Source organism: Homo sapiens, chromosome 20 (assembly GCF_000001405.40).
Source record: "Homo sapiens chromosome 20, GRCh38.p14 Primary Assembly".
Taxonomy (NCBI): Eukaryota; Metazoa; Chordata; class Mammalia; order Primates; family Hominidae; genus Homo; species Homo sapiens.
This window is the reverse complement of record NC_000020.11, coordinates 781,473-798,375: the sequence shown is the minus strand read 5'-3', so window position 1 is coordinate 798,375 and position 16,903 is coordinate 781,473. Positions and strand designations below refer to the sequence as shown.

Sequence of the window (16,903 nt, the reverse complement as noted above, 5' to 3'; positions counted from 1 at the left end):
TTTGGACCAACTATGGCTTAAAAGCTCTACATCACTGGGGGAAGACTCCTGGTTGCCACTGGGATCTTTATAGAAATCTCCCCAGATTAAATGGTCCCGATTCACTAATGCCTAGTCTGAGGAGAGCCAGGAGGGACAGAGGTATCTGAAGTAGAGAGCTTTCTTTGGCTTGACAAATCCCCACAGGATATAACAAGGCAAGCATCAAATGCAATAGTTGAGGTGAAATTGACTTGGTTATGTTAATAACTATATGGTCAGCAATAGAGTGAGGAAAGAAAAAAGAGTAATAGAATAGATGAAAGGGAGTTAAATTCTTCTTAGCTTTAGTTTAGTAGGGTTTTCCCCTGGGACTATGGCCCACGACTCTGGAGGGGGCGGTGCTTTCTTGACTTGGGTGTGGTGAGTCCATCCTCTCTCTGCTGTGCGGACTGCGGTTTCAGTAGTTAGGAGCACCAAGTAAGGACCTTCCCAGGCTGGCTCAAGCTTCTCCTCTTTCCAGCTCTTGATGAGGACGTGATCCCCAGGCTAATGTTGATGCACCAGGAACTCCAAGGGTGGTGCCTGTGCTAATAGACCTTTAGTTTTAAGAGAGGAGAAAGTAGAACATAGACCAAGTATATAATTTTTAAGGAATTGATCATTTGTTTCAAAGGTAGGAATATCAACAGTGGAGTGCAAATAAGGTAATCCATAGAGCATCTCATAAGGAGAAAGACCAATGTCTTTCCATGGTGCAGTTCAAATTCTCAGCAGGGTGATAGGAAGATACTTGGTCCATGGCAACCAAGTCTGTAAGACTAATTTGGTTAAGTGGTTCTTTAGAGTCTAATTCATTCTTTCTACTCTCCCTGATGAGGGTGGGTGCCAGGGAGTATGGTGTTCCCATCTAATGTCTAATATTTTGGAATAGCTTTTTAATAATGTGTGTGGTGAAATGAGTTCCATTGTCTGAGTCAGTATTTTCCGTTAGTCGAAACCTGGGTACTATATTTTCAATTAGGGCCTCAACTACATTACTGGCTGTTGCATTTGAAAAGGGGATAGCTTCGACCCAGGGAGTGAGGTGGCCTACTATCACTAGTAAATATTTTAGATGATCTATCAGAGGCATTTCTGTGTAATCAACTTAGATACTTTGGAATGGCCTTTAGCCTGGATTCCTTCCCCTGAGAGGTAATCATTTTATAGTATGTCTATTAGTTTTCTTACATACTAAGCAACTATCTGTAACCTGTTTTGCCAGGGTATAAATTCCTATACAACCATAAACTCTGAGAACTGCGTCACACATGGCCTGGGGCCCAAAATGGGTCCCCTGATGTAGTTGGGATACGACTTCCCTCATAAAGGGTTTAGACAACATTTCTCTCTGGTCTGGCAGTATCTACTTTCCTTCTGAATTCTCTTTAGCACCTATTTTTATTAGTTTCTCTTTTTCGGTGGAAGAGAAAATGGGGATTATGGTAGGAGGAGGGAGGTAGGGAGTTAAGTGAAAAACACGCATTTCAGAAGACACAGCAGCCTGCTTGGCTACCTGATCTGCTAGGTTATTTCCTCAACTTTCAAAAGAAAGGCTTTTCTGGTGTCCGGGAACATGGACAATAGCTATTTCTTCCGGCAACTGAAGATTATTCAATGCTTGGGTGAACAGCTCCTTGTGAACAAGGTCTTGACCTTTACTATTAATGAGACCTCGTTCAGTCCAAATTTTCCCAAATGTATGGGCCACTCCAAAGGCATACCTGGAATCTGTATAGATGTGGTTCTGTAAGTACTTTAAGGCTTGGCTGAGTGCAAACAGCTCACACGTTTGAGCAGATCAACTGTTGGGCAATTTTCCTGACTTTATTTCTACAAGAGTTTCTCCAACAATCACTGAATACCCATTGTGTCTTTTTCCCTCAATCACCTGGGAGGAACCATCTATGAGTAAGTGCCGTCCAGTCCAGAAGGGGGTTTCTCCCAGGTCTGGTCAAACCTTTGTATGGTAATCAATTAAATCTAAACATGTGTGTTCCCTCCTTAGATGTGGATTCCCTGTTAGGAAACCTGCTGGGTTGAGTGAATTATCAGTGGTCAATGTTAAATCATCCTTTTCTAACAGAATGGCCTCACACTTTAAGATTCTCAAGTCAGTAAGCCATCTCACTGCTCTCTGGTTTAAGATAGTTCTAACTTGGTGAGGCGTGTTTAATGTCAATTTTCCTCCGAAGGTTAATTTTCTGCTTTCCTCACCTAGTATTGCCATAGCAGCGATGGACTGGATGCGTTGAGGCCATCCACAAGTGACTGGGTCTAAGACCTTTGATGGGAAGGCTACGGGCTGCTGGCGGCCTCTGTGTTCTTGAGTCAGCACTCCCGAAGGTACCCTACTGTCCACATTAGCAAAAAGGTGGAATGGCTTTTCTAGGGAGGGTAAGCCTAAAACAGGGGCAGTTATGAGCCTTTCCTCCAACCTCTCGATTTGATCAACTTCCTCAGAAGTCCACAGGAGACGGTTAGGCTTCTCCTGGGCAAGTTTTTGATAGAACAGTTTACGGGGCAGTGTATATGAGTCAATCCATTAGCGACAGTGTCTGACTGACCCTAAAAATTTCCTGAGTTCTTGTTTAGTTTGAGGCAAGGGTAGGGACACGATTCCCTCAATTCATTCAGGCCCTATTATTCGCTTGCCTACACTTATTAAGTGGCCTAAATATTTAACTTCAGGCTCTACATACTGAAGCTTTCTTTTTGAGACTCATAGCCCCTCAAACTGCAGATGGTTAAGAATATGTGTAGAGAAGTCAGTTACCTTCTCTAGATCTTCACCAGATATAAGAATGTCATCCAGGTACTGAAGAAGGCATATTTGTTCTGGGATGACAACTTTTTCTAGTACTTCTTCTAAAATTTGGCCAAAAAGTTTAGGGGAGTCTGTGAACCCTTGGGGCAAGACGGTCCATCGATATTGTTGTTTCCACCCTGAGTATGGATCCTCCCACTCAAAAGCAAATATATCTCAGCTATCTTCAGCCAGGGGACATGCCCAAAAAGCATCCTTCAAATTTATTATAGTAAACCATTGATGATTATATGGAATCTTGCTAAGAATGGTGTAAGGATTGGTGACAACAGGGTGGGTACTCTGGACTATTTGGTTGATAGCTCTAAGGTCCTGTACTAGCTGGTATGACCCATCTAATTTCTTGACTGGCTGGTAGCAGTCTTGATTTCTTGATTCTTGATTGGGATGTTATAAGGAGACATACAGGGCTCAAGAAGCCCATCCTAAATAAGGCCTTCAATTATAGGTTTCAACACTATCCTACCTTCTAGGGGAATAGGGTATTGCTTCCTTCTTACTACTTCCCCTGGGTTTTTTAGCTTGATGTGGATCGGAGGGACTTAGAGTTTCCCTTGGTTTCCTTCTTTGGTCAAGACATGAGGATTAATATATTTTTCATCTGCGGTGGTGAGTAGGTTTAATGAGGTGAGGAATCCTCTTGGGCTGACTTGTAGACCTATGCCCAACTTTAACATTAAATTCCTCCCCAGTAAATTAGTTCCTGCTTCAGGGATAAACAAGAACTGAATATAAGCTGAGCGATCCTGGTATCTAACTTCAGTGCTTTCTAAAATTTTTGCTCTTAATCCTACACCTTTTACCCTGGAGACTAAAAGTTCCTCTAAGAAGGAGACAACATTAGATGGGGGGAAACAGAGGAGCGAGCAGCCCCCGAATCAACTAAAAAGGTGATAAGCTCATGTTTAGGTCCCACCCCCAAATTTATCAAGGGCTCCTGGTGGGACTCAAGATAAAAGAGACAGAGCCCCTGACCCCGCTATTCTTCCTTGAAAGTCATGAGTGAAAGGGCTTCTTTCTCCTTTCTTAGTTCAGAACATCCTCTCCTGAAGTGGTCTGCTCTTCCACATCTATAGCACCTATTTTGTCCTTCCTCCCCTTAGTTCTGGGATTCTTTAACCCTTCTCCCCCATACTCTTTAGGGGGCTTGGTAGACAAGGACCCTGGTCCTCCAGATGGAGGCTGGGGTTCTTTAAAAGAGGATTCGGACCCTTTATAGTTTCTGGCTCCCTGGAAACTCTATCTAGAAGTACCTGGGTTTGGAGCCATCTGTTGGAAGGTGAAAAACATAAGTTTTGTCTTTTGTTTCGTTTTACTTTGTCCCTTTTCACATACACTTTCTGAGCTTCCCTGAGAAGCTCACTTAAGGGATGGTCTTCCCAATTGTCTATCTTTTGTAACTTTTTTTTTCAAATGTCTGGCCAACTTTTAGTGAAAAATTGGAGTTTCAACATTCCTTGCCCAAGGGGATCATCCAAATTGAGGCCTGCATATTGCCTCATTTGCTCCCTCAGTCTGTCTAGGAATCTCATAGGCCCTTCATCTTTTTCCTGTTGTATATCAAATGCTTTAGAAAGATTTTGGGTTCAGGGTACTGATTCCTGAATTCCTTTTATTATCTCCCTTAGGTCCTGCATATTTTCCCGGTGATCTGCATTGTTATTTTCCCATGGGGGGTCCTGGGCGGGGAATTTCTGGTCCGTGGTAGGAACGTTTTCATTGGGAGGGTGCTCACATTCCCAAACTACCATAGCAGACCTAAGAATCATACTCCTTTCTTACCCTGAAAAGAGGATGCCCAAGATGGACATTAACTTGACCCAAGTGTATAACTGAGGTTCTAAGAATTGGTCAATTTGGTCTGCCACTCTGTAAGGGTCGTCCAGCAGCAGTTTAAGCTCCTTTGTAAAATTCTGGACTTCTGAACTGATTAAGGGAGCATTTACAAAGTCAATGCCCCCCCCCCCGCCCCCAACTTGTGGTACCTCTTTCAAAGGGAAGAGGGTAGGGGCTGACCTCTTAGGTACGGAGGGAAATAGGAAATTCTGAATATCTTTTTTACATTGTTCTACCTCACGCTGGAGTCTTTTTAGAGAGGGGTCTTTAGGTTGGGAGAGAACAGGCTGGTGGGATGGTAATTCCCAACAGTCAGGGTTATAAGGAGGAGGGATAGCGTGAGTAGAGGGGGAATTTGGAACAGGATCTGAGGTGGCAGTGGTGATCTGAGGTGGCAGTGGCTGTCTGAGGGGAAAGTTTGGGGACACTGAGTGGGGGAAGATGGTCTAGGGGATACCATGCAGCACTGGAGTCTTTAGGCATGAGAGCTGGCTCCTCTGACTTTTCATTTTGAGGTGCCAGATTGGGTTCTTCCCTATTTATTTTTAAGAGAAATAGGAGGGCAGGTCCTTGCCTCCAACAAAGGGCATAGCCTAGTTCTTCTTGAGACACTGGACTTTTATCATTAACGTATCGGATTAGAAGCTGACACATTACATTCTCATTTGACCCAAACTTTGACCAGAAGATTGAGGGACTGAGGATGGGTCCCTGACTCCAAATAAAACAGCAATATTTTACCATTTGTTGCTTTTTCCTATGTGTATCCTTTCATTATCCTTCCAGTGTTTTAGCATGAGACCTAGGGGGCCATCTGGAGGGATATCTTTGTTACCATGTTTATCCCCCTTGCTCCCTGTCTTGCTTGGGATATTTCCCATCTTGATGGTTTTGGGATAAGGTTCAAGGTTCACTTTCCCTTACTGGAAATTTCTTACCTTTTGGGGTGAGGCTCAATTTCCCCACTGGAAATTTCTTGCCTTTTCTACTACTGGAGGTTTGTGTGAGGTTCAATCTCCGCCAATGGGGATGTCTCACCTCTTTTTAACCTCTAAGCCACCCTGACCAAGGAGTACTTCACCGCCCACCACCCCCGTGGCTTTCTTACCTTGGTCCCGACCACCAAGGAAATACTTTACCAGCTCCCGCGGCTTCTCCTTCCTTGCTCTGTGCGCAGAGTCGTCGCTGCAGTATGTGAGGATTCTTTAAGCTAGGTTGCCGGCCAGTTTTCTTCCCCCCTGTTGCTGACAGCTCGGGTTGTTCCTCGCACTGGGTGGGTTCTGATTTCTCCCGGCTGAGGCCGCCACAGGGGGCGGAGCGCTCCTCACAAGAGAGAACCAGAGACTGCCCCAGAGGGAAATGTAATCAGGGCGAGCCCCCAAATTGTTACATATAAAGTTTCAGTGCCGCAAAAGAAATAGCACTCGAATATAAAATTTTCTTTTTAATTCTCAGCAAGGCAAGGTACTTCTATAGAAGGGTGCACCCTCACAGGTAGAGCAATGGTGAGTGTACACCTGGACAAGGGAGGGAAAGGGGTTCTTATCCCTAATGCACAAGGCTCCTGCTGCTGTGTCGTTCCCCTATTGGCTAGGGTTAGACTGCACAGGCTAAACTAATTCCAATTGGCAGATTTAAAGAGTGTGACAGGATGAGTGCTTTGGCGGGAAAAAAAAATGGTTATGCAGGGTGGAGAATAATTAGTCAGGGTGGAGCAGGTAGCAAGTAACCTGCAAGAGTCAGGGTGGAGCAGGTAATCGGAATGAGTCAGGGTGGAGCAGGTAATCGAAAAAGGTTGCTTTACGAGGAAGTTAAATTTAAAAGCAGAAGTCAAAGAATTGAACATACTGACATATTAATTCTTTGAAGAGAAATTTAGAATTCATATTTAACAATATGGACACAGGAAGGGGATGTGGTGGGCCAGAGTGGTCTTGGAAAATACAACATTCAGGCATGAAAACAGGAGTGCCTGTTCTTACTTAGGTCTGTGGGCACAGGCCCAAGGGTGGAGCCCTCACCAGGAACCCTGCATTTCTGTACCCAGCACTCCCCTGCCCCCCTTCCATATCACAATGACCCTCTTGTTTGCAATGAGGACAAGGTCCTGGGGGTGGCTTGTAACCCAAAGGTATGGAACATCCTCTACTCCAGTGTCCTGGATTCCTGCAATGATGCTGTCTGTAATAATTTTGCAAAGGTGGTTTCAATGCCTTAATATCAGCAAGAGACTCATGTTCAGGTTATGATAAAAGATTGTGGAGACCAAGGTTCTTTTGAAGTCTTATGTTCGCTGCCCTTAGAGACAACAGATGGCAAATGTTTCCTATTCAGACCATCAAAAGGTGTTAGACTCTTAGTTAATCTCTTCAGGATTGGGAGGGCCTGGAAGAAAAAGATCCAGCTATGTTAATAGAGATTCTTTACAGATGCAAATTTTCAGCACCGTGAGTTTTGATATGCATGCATTCCAGAGATGCATAGAAATTCTAGTTACTTATAAATTTGGGGGAAAGAAGCCTGGAATGAGATGCCTGCTTTAGATAATAGGGAAGTCTAATTGCTTCTGAATAAGGAGTTCTGATAAGGAGTTTTGTCTCTGAATGGTCTGCTTGATGGTCACCAGGTATAACTTTGCTCTCCCCAGTGGCCAAATCTGAGAGTTGTGTACATAGGCAAAAACAGAGAAGCTGAACAAAGGGGTGAGGAGAGCAAAAATCACCTGGTGACCCTGAAGCAGCCCGAGACAAAAACTCCTTATCTGAGGAATTTAGAAGTATAATCGTTACCGGAAAGGGGTCCCAATCCAGACCCCACAAGAGGGTTCTTGGATCTCACACAAGAAAGAATCCAGGGCAAGTTCACAGTGCAAAGCAAAAGAAAATTTATTAGTAAAGTAAAGGAATAAAAGAATGGCTACTCCATAGGGTTGCCCATTTTTATGGTTATTTCTTGATTATGAGGACTAAGCTCTGATCTTTTTATTTTGCTGAAATTCCTATCTAAGGGGTCTGGGGAGTCATGCCCTACAAACCATAAATTCTCATCAGATGGGTTTTATTTAAACCTATATATCTGACTTGCTTTCCAATCTGACTCTGGCATAACATTATGTGACAAAGAAGAAAGCAAAAATATTTTACCCAAAAACATGTTTCTTTGCCATATCTTGAAATGGCCCTGCAAAGCTGTCCTTTGTGGGGGGAAATCTGCATCTGTAAATAATCTCTATTAATATAGCTAGATCTTTTTCTTCCAGGCCCTCTGAGATTAACTAAGAGTCTGGCAGCCTTTTTTTTTTTTTTTTTTTTTTTTTTTTTGAGTCTAGCAGCTTTTAAAAGTCTGAATAGGAAACATTTGTCATCTATTGTCTCTAAGGACAGCCACTATAAGACTTCAAAAGAACCTTGGTCTCCACAATGTTTTATCTTAACCTAAACATTTCCCTCCTATTGATCCCAGGTCTTTAGACAAATTCAACCAATTGTCAACCAGAAAATGTTTAAATTTACCTATAGTCTGGAAGTTCCCACTTTGAGTTGTCCCACCTTTCTGGACCAAACCAATGTGTTTCTTAAATGTATTTGATTGATGCCTCGTGCCTCTCTAAAATGTATAAAACCAAGCTGCGCCCGAACCACCTTGGGCACATGTTCTCAGGATCTCCTAAGTGCTGTGTCATGGGCCATGGTCACTCGTATTTCGCCCAAAATAAATCTCTTCAAATATTTTACAGAGTTTGACTCTTCATCGACATATCTAAAGTTGGCATCTGGTTCCAGGGGTCTTTCAAAAATTTTGTAGTAACCAGAATTTCTATGCGAAACTCACTGTGCAATCCTTGCTGACATTAAGGCACCAAAATAACTACAAATGTAACCATTTATCATAACCTACGTGGCTAGTATGCTCCAAATTACCCTCAAGCTTTTGCCTTAAGGTTCATATATGCGCCTAAGGAATATCCACCACAGCCCTCTCAGTCCCCTCTTGCTGAGGCACCTCGCTGCACTCTTCTGCAATGTTCTTTCTTTCTAATAAAACTTTACTTTTCAAACCTATACTGTTGTTGGTAAATTCTTCTTATCAGCCCTTGAGTTGACCACTTTCTGATGCCGGGGCTCTGACATTTCAACCGGCAAAGGCTGAAATGTAGTTACAAAGATTTGATTTGCTACTCCCTACTTTCTGAGGGGTTGCTTAACATTCCATTGTAAAGAGGTAACAGTCACAAGAGGCTCTTTTTCACATACCGTTATGTCCAAGTTTGAATGAGAAATAGGGAACAATGGTTAAAGGTGTAGAGATAGAGTTAGGAAAATTGCCTAATAATTGGTCTGCTCAAACGTGTGAGCTGTTTGCACTCAGCCAAGCCTTAAAGTACTTACAGAACCAGGAAGGAACCATCTATACCAATTTTCAGTGTGCCTTTGGAGTGGCTCATGCATGTGGAAAAATTTGGACTGAACCAGGTCTTATTAATAGCAAAGGTCAAGACCCGGTCCACGAGGAATTAATCACCCAAGTATTAAATAACCTTCAGTTGCCAAAAAAATAACTATTGTCCATGTCCCCGGACACCAAAAAAGCCTTCCTTTAATTAAAATTCCAAACTTACAAGGTTTTCAACAGAAGTAAAATTTGCTAAAAGTTAACAGTGTAACATGTATTATCCTAACTTCTAATCTTGTGGCCTTAGGCAGTCTAGTCCACAGACATGAGGGAAGTTTGCTTTGGGAAAAAACAATTATCATCTTTGACATTAAGAAAAAAGGAGAATTTATGTAAAAAGAATCTTATACGGTAAATTCTCATCCTAAAATAAATTAACTGGTTGTTTAAAGAAAGGAATGTTCACAAGTCAGAAATTTAAGTCATGTCAAAGATGGTCTGTGAAAGTCGTGGAAAATGTTATAAAAGGGAATTTATGCAAGAAATGTTGTATAATTTAAAAGTAATTAGGCCTCCTGAATGTAAAACTATTGAAGAAACAGTTTATGTTCAAGGCGTGTAAGGAAAGTAAAATATACTTTTGGTAAAAGGATTATAAGAAGGCATAAGAATGTGGATTTTTACCTACATTAAAAGGTTAAAAAATTGTTTTGAAGGTTTAAGCAAGTTTTGAAATGTTAATTGTAAAGGAATTTCTGTGTGTAAACATATTGGCTAAAGTTAAAGGGGTGTCATCCAGTTTTTCTGTGAACTGGACATTAAAATAAAAGCACAACAGGTTTTTCTTAAAGTACTAACCTGCTCTTTAACAAAAATTATGAAGCGTTAGAAAGAGTCTATAACAATTTTACCTTATGGTCAGACATTAAAATTGAATAAATATGTCTACAAGATTTTATTAAAATTGAGTTTAACATTAATAGCACACTAATATAAAGGTGAAATTTAGCTTATCTGGTATAAAATCACACAGGAAGCATTATCAAATATAAAATGGTGTTTGGCTTTCTTTGGTTTAAAAACTAATAAAAATAGGTGCTAAAGAGAATTCAGAAGGAAAATGGATATTGCTAGACCAGAGAGAAATGTTATCCAAACCCCTTATGAGGGAAGTCTTATTCCAACTGCATTAAAGGACCCATTGGAGGCCCCAAGCCTCGTGTGACACATTCATCAGAGTTTATGGGTGCATAGGATTTATACCCTGGCCAAACAGGTTACAGACAGTTGTTTAGTAAAACATTACCCCTTGGGGGAAGGAGTCCAGGCTTAAGGCCATTCCAAAGTATCCAGACTGACTACACAGAGATGCCTCCAACTGATCATCTGAAGTATTTATTAGTATAGTAGATCACCTTACTCATTGGATAGAAGCTATTTCCTTTTCAAGTACAACTGATAATAACATAGACAGGGCATTAGTTGAAAATCTTATACTCAAGTTTAGATTAATAGAAAACATTGATTCAGATAATAAGACTCATTTCACTGTACATGTCATTAAGAAATTAGCCCAGATACTGGATATAACATGGGAATATCATACTCCCTGGCACCTACCTTCATCAAGAAGAGTGGAAAGAATGAACCAAACTATTTTTTAAAAAAGCCCTTTGGCAGGAGAATGGCGTGAACCCGGGAGGCGGTGCTTGCAGTGAGCCGAGATCGCGCCACTGCGCTCCAGCCTGGGCTACGGAGAGAGACCCTGTCAAAAAAAAAAAAAAAAAGCCCTTTGGGAGGCCAAGGCGGGTGGATCACGAGGTCAGGAGTTCGAGACCAGCCTGGCCAATATGGTGAAACCCCATCTCTACTAAAAATACAAAAATTAGCCAGGCATGGTGGCGCGTGCCTGTAGTCCCAGCTACTAGGGAGGCTGAGGCAGAAGAATCACTTGAACCCGGGAGGTGGAGGTTGCAGTGAGCTCAGATGGCACCATTGCACTCCAGCCTGGGCGACAGAGCGAGACTCCCTCTCAAAAAAAAAAAAAAAAAAAAAAAAAAGGCCACCTAACCAAATTAGTCTTAGAGACTCGGTTGCCATGGATAGATGCTCTCCCATTGCCCTCTTGAGAGTCTGAACTGCTCCTCAGAGAGATGTTGGCTTATCCCCTTATGAAATGTTGTGTAGGTTGCCCTGTTTACACTCCACTGCTGACATTCCTATGTTCAAAACAAAAGATGAGTTTCTCAGAAATTATATACTTGGTTTATTTTCCACTTTCTCTTCCCTCAGAACTAAAGGTCTTTTAGAACAGGTACCACCCCTACAGTTTCCAGTACACCAACATCAGCTTAAGGACTGTGTCCTTGTCAAAAGTTGGAGGGAAGGGAAACTCGAACTGGCTTGGGAAGGACCCTACCTGTTGCTTCTAACCACCGAGACCACAGTTCAAACAGCAGAAAGAGGATGGACTCATCACACCTAGGTCAAAAGAGCACCACCCCCTCCAGAATCATGGACAGCTATTCCAGGGCCAACTCCAACCAAGCTAAAGCTAAAACGGGTTTGATCCTCTTACATTCCATCTCTTTCTTTTCCCCTTCTATTGCTAGTCTTCTCGTTCTTTATGTAACAAGTTCGCCCCAAACTATTACTTTTGATGCTTGCCTTGGGATGACCTGTGGAGATCTGCCAAACCAGAGGCAACTCTCCCCTTCAGAAAAGTATCTTTGTCCTTCCTGGCTCTCCTCAGACTGAAAATCTGTTAACTGGGATCAGTTAGTCTGGGAAGATATTGATGATGGTCCCAGTATGAACTAGGAATCTTGCCCTCCTAGAACAGAACTTTTAGCTGGTCTAATGGCTTATGGACTACCAAGGAGCAAGGATGGACCACCCCATTGTCAGATGAACCAATGTAATCCAGTACAGATTACCACCTCTGCTCCCCAGAGTACCGTTTCTATGGTATAGGAGCAGAAGTCTCAGGGAAGGACCCCAGAGGATCCTTTGAAATGTGCTTCATTGCCTCCTCAACTCCTGCACCCCCTTCTCCCACTCCTAAGTTCTCCACTAACCAGATCTTCTTTCGTTATATACCCAATGATAAAACCAAAGTAGCTGTTGTAGAAGTTATAGATTTAAAACAAACTATAGCAATTGAAACAGAGTACCAGGATGTAAATGCTTGGCTGAAATGGATTAAATATTCTGTTCGCATGCTAAACAAAAGTGACTGCTTGTGCGACAGGCAGGCCAGAGACCCAAATTGTCCCCTTTCCCCTCGAGTGGTCCTCTCATGGACAGGGCATGAGCTGTATGGTAGCTCTCTTCCAGAACCCCACAGCCGGGGCAATGAGTCAGGCAAAACTCTTTCACTGCTGTTCGCTTTCACTGCTCTTCCCCGAGGTCAAGAGCCCTGTGGGTCAGCCCGGAGGGCCATCCAGCCTCCAGCCCCTGATGTTAAGTTCACCTGTCCCTTTCACGGCAGGGGGAAAAGTTAGCATTCCTTGGAGACTTAACAGGGTGCGGTGAAACCAAGCCTTTTCAAGAGCTTACCCATCAGTCTGCCCTTGTTCATCCCTGAGCAGGTGTGTGGTGGCATTGAGGGGCACTATTGCTGGATACTCTGCCAAGCAATTAGAGCAGCACTCGTGCTCTAGTCCAATTGGCCATCCCTTTCACTCTAGCATTCCGTCAACATGATAAAAAAGAAAATTGTAAAAGAAGTGCCTTACATGAGTCGTTTGACCCCCATGTTTATATAAACATTACTGGAGTTCCACTAGGAGTACCAGATGAATTTAAAGCCCGAGATCAAATAGCTGCAGGATTTAAGTCAATATTTTCATGGGTGACGATTAATAAAAATGTAGACTGGATAAATTACATCTATTATAATCAGCAGCAGTTTATTAATTACACCAGGGATGCTGTCAAAGGGATAGCAGAACAATTGGGGCCCACTAGCCAGATGGCCTGGGAAAACAGAATGGCACCAGATATGATATTAGCAGAAAAAGTGGTGTTTGTATTATGATTAAAACTCAGTGTTGTACCTTTATCCCAAATAACACTGCCCACACTGGGAACATAACAAGGGCCTTATAAAGACTTACCACTCTATCCAATGAACTAGCTAAAATTCTGGAGTCGATAACCCTTTCTCAGGGTGGCTAGAAAGGGGGTTCAGTAAATGGAAAGAAATCACAGCCTCAATTCTTACTTCTCTTGCAGCCGTAATAGCTGTACTCATTCTTGTTAGGTGTTATGTCATACCATGCATCTGTGGGCTAGTGCAAAGACTTATAAAAGCAGCACTTACTAAAATCTTCCTTAACTCACCTCCACCTTATTCAGATAAGCTTTTTCTTTTAGAGGATTAAGTCGAGCAGCTAAGCCAAGACATGTTTAAAAAGTTTGAAGAGGAAGTACTATGAAAATTGAAAGGGGGAAATTGTAGGATATAACAAATTCCTTTTCAAATGTTTCAGCCTGTAAATTGTTAAGTACAATGAGTTCTGAGATCCTCTCCAAGGAACCAATGTATGAGTATATTCAGGTCCCCTGTTCTTTGTTCTCCATTTTAAAGTTTAACTTTCTCATTCTCTTTGCCTCCTTGCCCCTAGTTTCAGTAAACAACCTTTTCCACCAGTTCTAATCAGTAGTTCACATCTATTCCCCTGATCACCTGCTCCTTCTTGAGTCACCCCTGGTCACCTGCACTGACCTGAGTCACCTTTAGTCACCTGTTCCTAACTGTCCTTCCCGCCAAACTACTCACTCCGCTACTCCGACTCGTACCCCTGCTCTCTTTAAAACAGCCAATCGGAATTAGCTTAGACTGTGTGGTCCAATCCTAGTCAACAGGGGAACCACACAGCAGTAGGGGCTACCTGCATCAGGAATAAAAACCCCTTCCCCTCCCTTGTTCAGGTGTGCTCTCACCATTGTTCCATCCACAAGTCACACCCTTCTATAGAAGTAAAATTGCCTTGCTGAGAAAATTAAATTTATGTTCGAGTGCTATTTCTTTTGCAGCACTGAAAATTTGCGCCTAACAAAGGTGTTGTAAGAGTTCAAGAAAGAGGAAAGAAACATGAAAAGAGGCTCAACAGTCAAAGACAGGTTTATTTTGAAGAATAAACCTGAGAGGGGCCTCTGTCCAATTTCAGTCAGGAATGCTCTCTCTTACATACTAAGGGTATTTACTGGTTTCTGGGTAAGAGAGCTTATCACAGGCTTGGAATGTTCCTGTGTAGGGGAGAAGTCTATTGAGGGTTGGAATGTCTCTGGTTGGAAGGGACGGTATCTTGGGGCTGACATCTCTCCACCTGGAGGGGAGGTTATCTTGGGGCTGGCACGTCTCTGGTCGGGGAGGGCTTTAACTTATGGTTGGAATGTTTCTGGTCAGAGATGTCATTTGTGGTTTATGGTCATGCTGACCTTAGCCATTAGGCTGATGCCCTTTGGATTTAGGTGGTTTTTGATCAAGGGGAACTTTAGAATGGCAGTGCTTGTCCAAGATGGCAATGCTCCTGCTCTGTCAATCCAGACCTTATAGTTATAAAAAGGATGAAAGGCAGGGTGTTCTTTCTGGCTACTTCCTGCTGATGAGGGGACAGAGTTTTCTGGTCTTGGATTAACTGTAGCAGTAACGCTGTCTGTGGATGTTTTTGGGTAGTTGTCTGTGAAATGGCCATGATCCTGTCAGTTAAAAATCTTTGAAAAAGGTTAATTAGGCAGGGTAAGAACATTAGTCCTAGGCATATTATTAGGAAAGGTCCCAGGAATGGGATGACCCATGCTATGATTTTGTTCCTAAACCAAGAATCTATTTGGTTGTTTTGGTATAGCCCTTTCCTTAAGTTTTTCAACAGCACCTCTTACTAGGCCTAATTGGTTGATATAGAAACAACATTCCTCACCCAATGACAGGCAGAGGCACATGTCTGGAAAGGCCCATGTGTTATTTGCTGTTAGTAACTGTTATTCCTGCTATGAGGATAATAATTAAGCAAAATGGTACCATAATTGAGATTCTCTGTCTGATATTCCATCCTGAGGGTGCTGTAGTACATAGTCCCACTGCAAATAATAGAGTGTGTAAAGCAGTTCCCACAATGGTGGTGTAGTGAATAATTTCCATTAAAAAGTTTTAATATTTGTCTTAAAAGGAGAGGTAGGAACATCTAAAAGTATTTGGTGAGGTAGGGGTGAGACTGAGTAAGATAAGTAGTTCTCACTCAGTTACTTACCTTTTATGAGCTTAAAATTTCCTATTTCTTTACACTGATATTTAGGATGTTCCTTTGGCTATCAGGGGTTGCTTCCTCAGCTTTCCAGGCTTTGACTCGAGTGTAATGTATCCAGATGTTGATTCCTGTTTTTTTGTTTTGTTTCGTTTTTTAAGATGGAGTCTCGCTCTGTCGCCAGTCTGGAGTGCAATGGCGCGATCTCGGCTCACCACAACTTCCACCTCCTGGGTTCAAGTGATTATCATGCCTCAGCCTCCCGAATAACTGGGATTACAGGCATGCACCACCATGCCCAGCTAACTTTTTTATATTTTTGGTAGAGATGGGGTTTCACCATGTTGGCCAGGCTGGTCTCAGACTCCTGACCTCAAGTGATCCACTCACCTTGGCCTCCCAAAGTGTTGGGATTACAGGCGTGAGCCACCGCACCTGACCCAGAAGTTGATTCTTGTAAGAGATGCCATCTCAATTACCCTGGGTTCCATGGACTTATTAGATGTGGGGGCAAAGGATTCCAGGCACGCTCAGTTATTAGTTGTCAGCTCCAGCAGTGAAGAGGTTTCCTCCTGTGATGGCTGGGGGGCGTTTAGAGGCAGTGCCTGCTGAAACGTCTAGTTTTCAGTTCATAGGGCTTTAAGAAAACAAAGCTTATTTTGGAAACTCGTAGTCAGAAAAATTAGAATTTAATTTAAAGTAATAAAAATTGAACAACATTAGGCAACACTGGAATTTAATAACAGGTGTGTTATAGTTTCTGAAATGTAATTTTCTCTCTCCAGTTTCCCATTTTTTCCCCCCCAAGATGGAGTCTCGCTCTTGTCACCCAGGCTGGAGTGCAGTGGTGCAATCTAAGCTCACCGCAACCTCTGCCTCCCGGGTTCAAGTGATTCTCCTGCCTCAGCCTCCCGAGTAGGTGGGATTGCAAGCACCCACCACCACGCCCAGCTAATTTTTGTATTTTTGTAGAGACAGGGTTTTGCCATGTTGGCAAGGCTTGTCTCAAACTCCTGACCTCAGGTGATCTACCTGCCTCGGCCTCCCAAAGTGCTGGGACTACAGGCGTGAGCCACCACACCCAGCCAAGAATAATTATTTGTTACGTAGGCCTTAAAAAAAAAAGTTAACAGTGTAACATGTATTTAAGACTATTGAAAAAACAGTTTACATATACTTTTGGTAAAAAGATTATAAGGAGGCATGAGAATGTGGATTTTTACCTAGATTAAAAGGTTAAAGAATTGTTTTAAGTTGAATAAAATAAAAATGAAGGTTTAAGCAACTTTTGGAAGGTTAATTGTAAAGGAAATACTGTGTGTAAACATCTTGGCTAAAGTTAAAGGTGTATCATCCAGTTTTTCTGTAAATTGAGTATTAAAATAAAAGCACAATGGGTTTTTCTTAAAGCACTAACCTGCTCTTTGACAAAAATTATAAAGGGTTAAAAATGGTCTATAGGCCAGCCGCAATGGCTCACGCCTGTAATCCCAGCACTTTGGGAGGCCGAGGCAGGCGGATCACGAGGTCAGGAGATGAAGACCATCCTGGCTAACACGGTGAAACCCCATCTCTA

At 42.5% G+C, this 16,903-nt stretch overlaps 1 annotated feature.

Moving 5' to 3' along the window:
- Positions 6,706-7,457: an enhancer, noted in NCBI's record as "OCT4-NANOG hESC enhancer chr20:771562-772313 (GRCh37/hg19 assembly coordinates)". NCBI's record gives its function as "activates a minimal SCP1, AML or CMV promoter by ChIP-STARR-seq in primed H9 embryonic stem cells {active_cell/tissue: H9 hESC(primed)}" and the evidence as "EXISTENCE:reporter gene assay evidence [ECO:0000049][PMID:30033119]".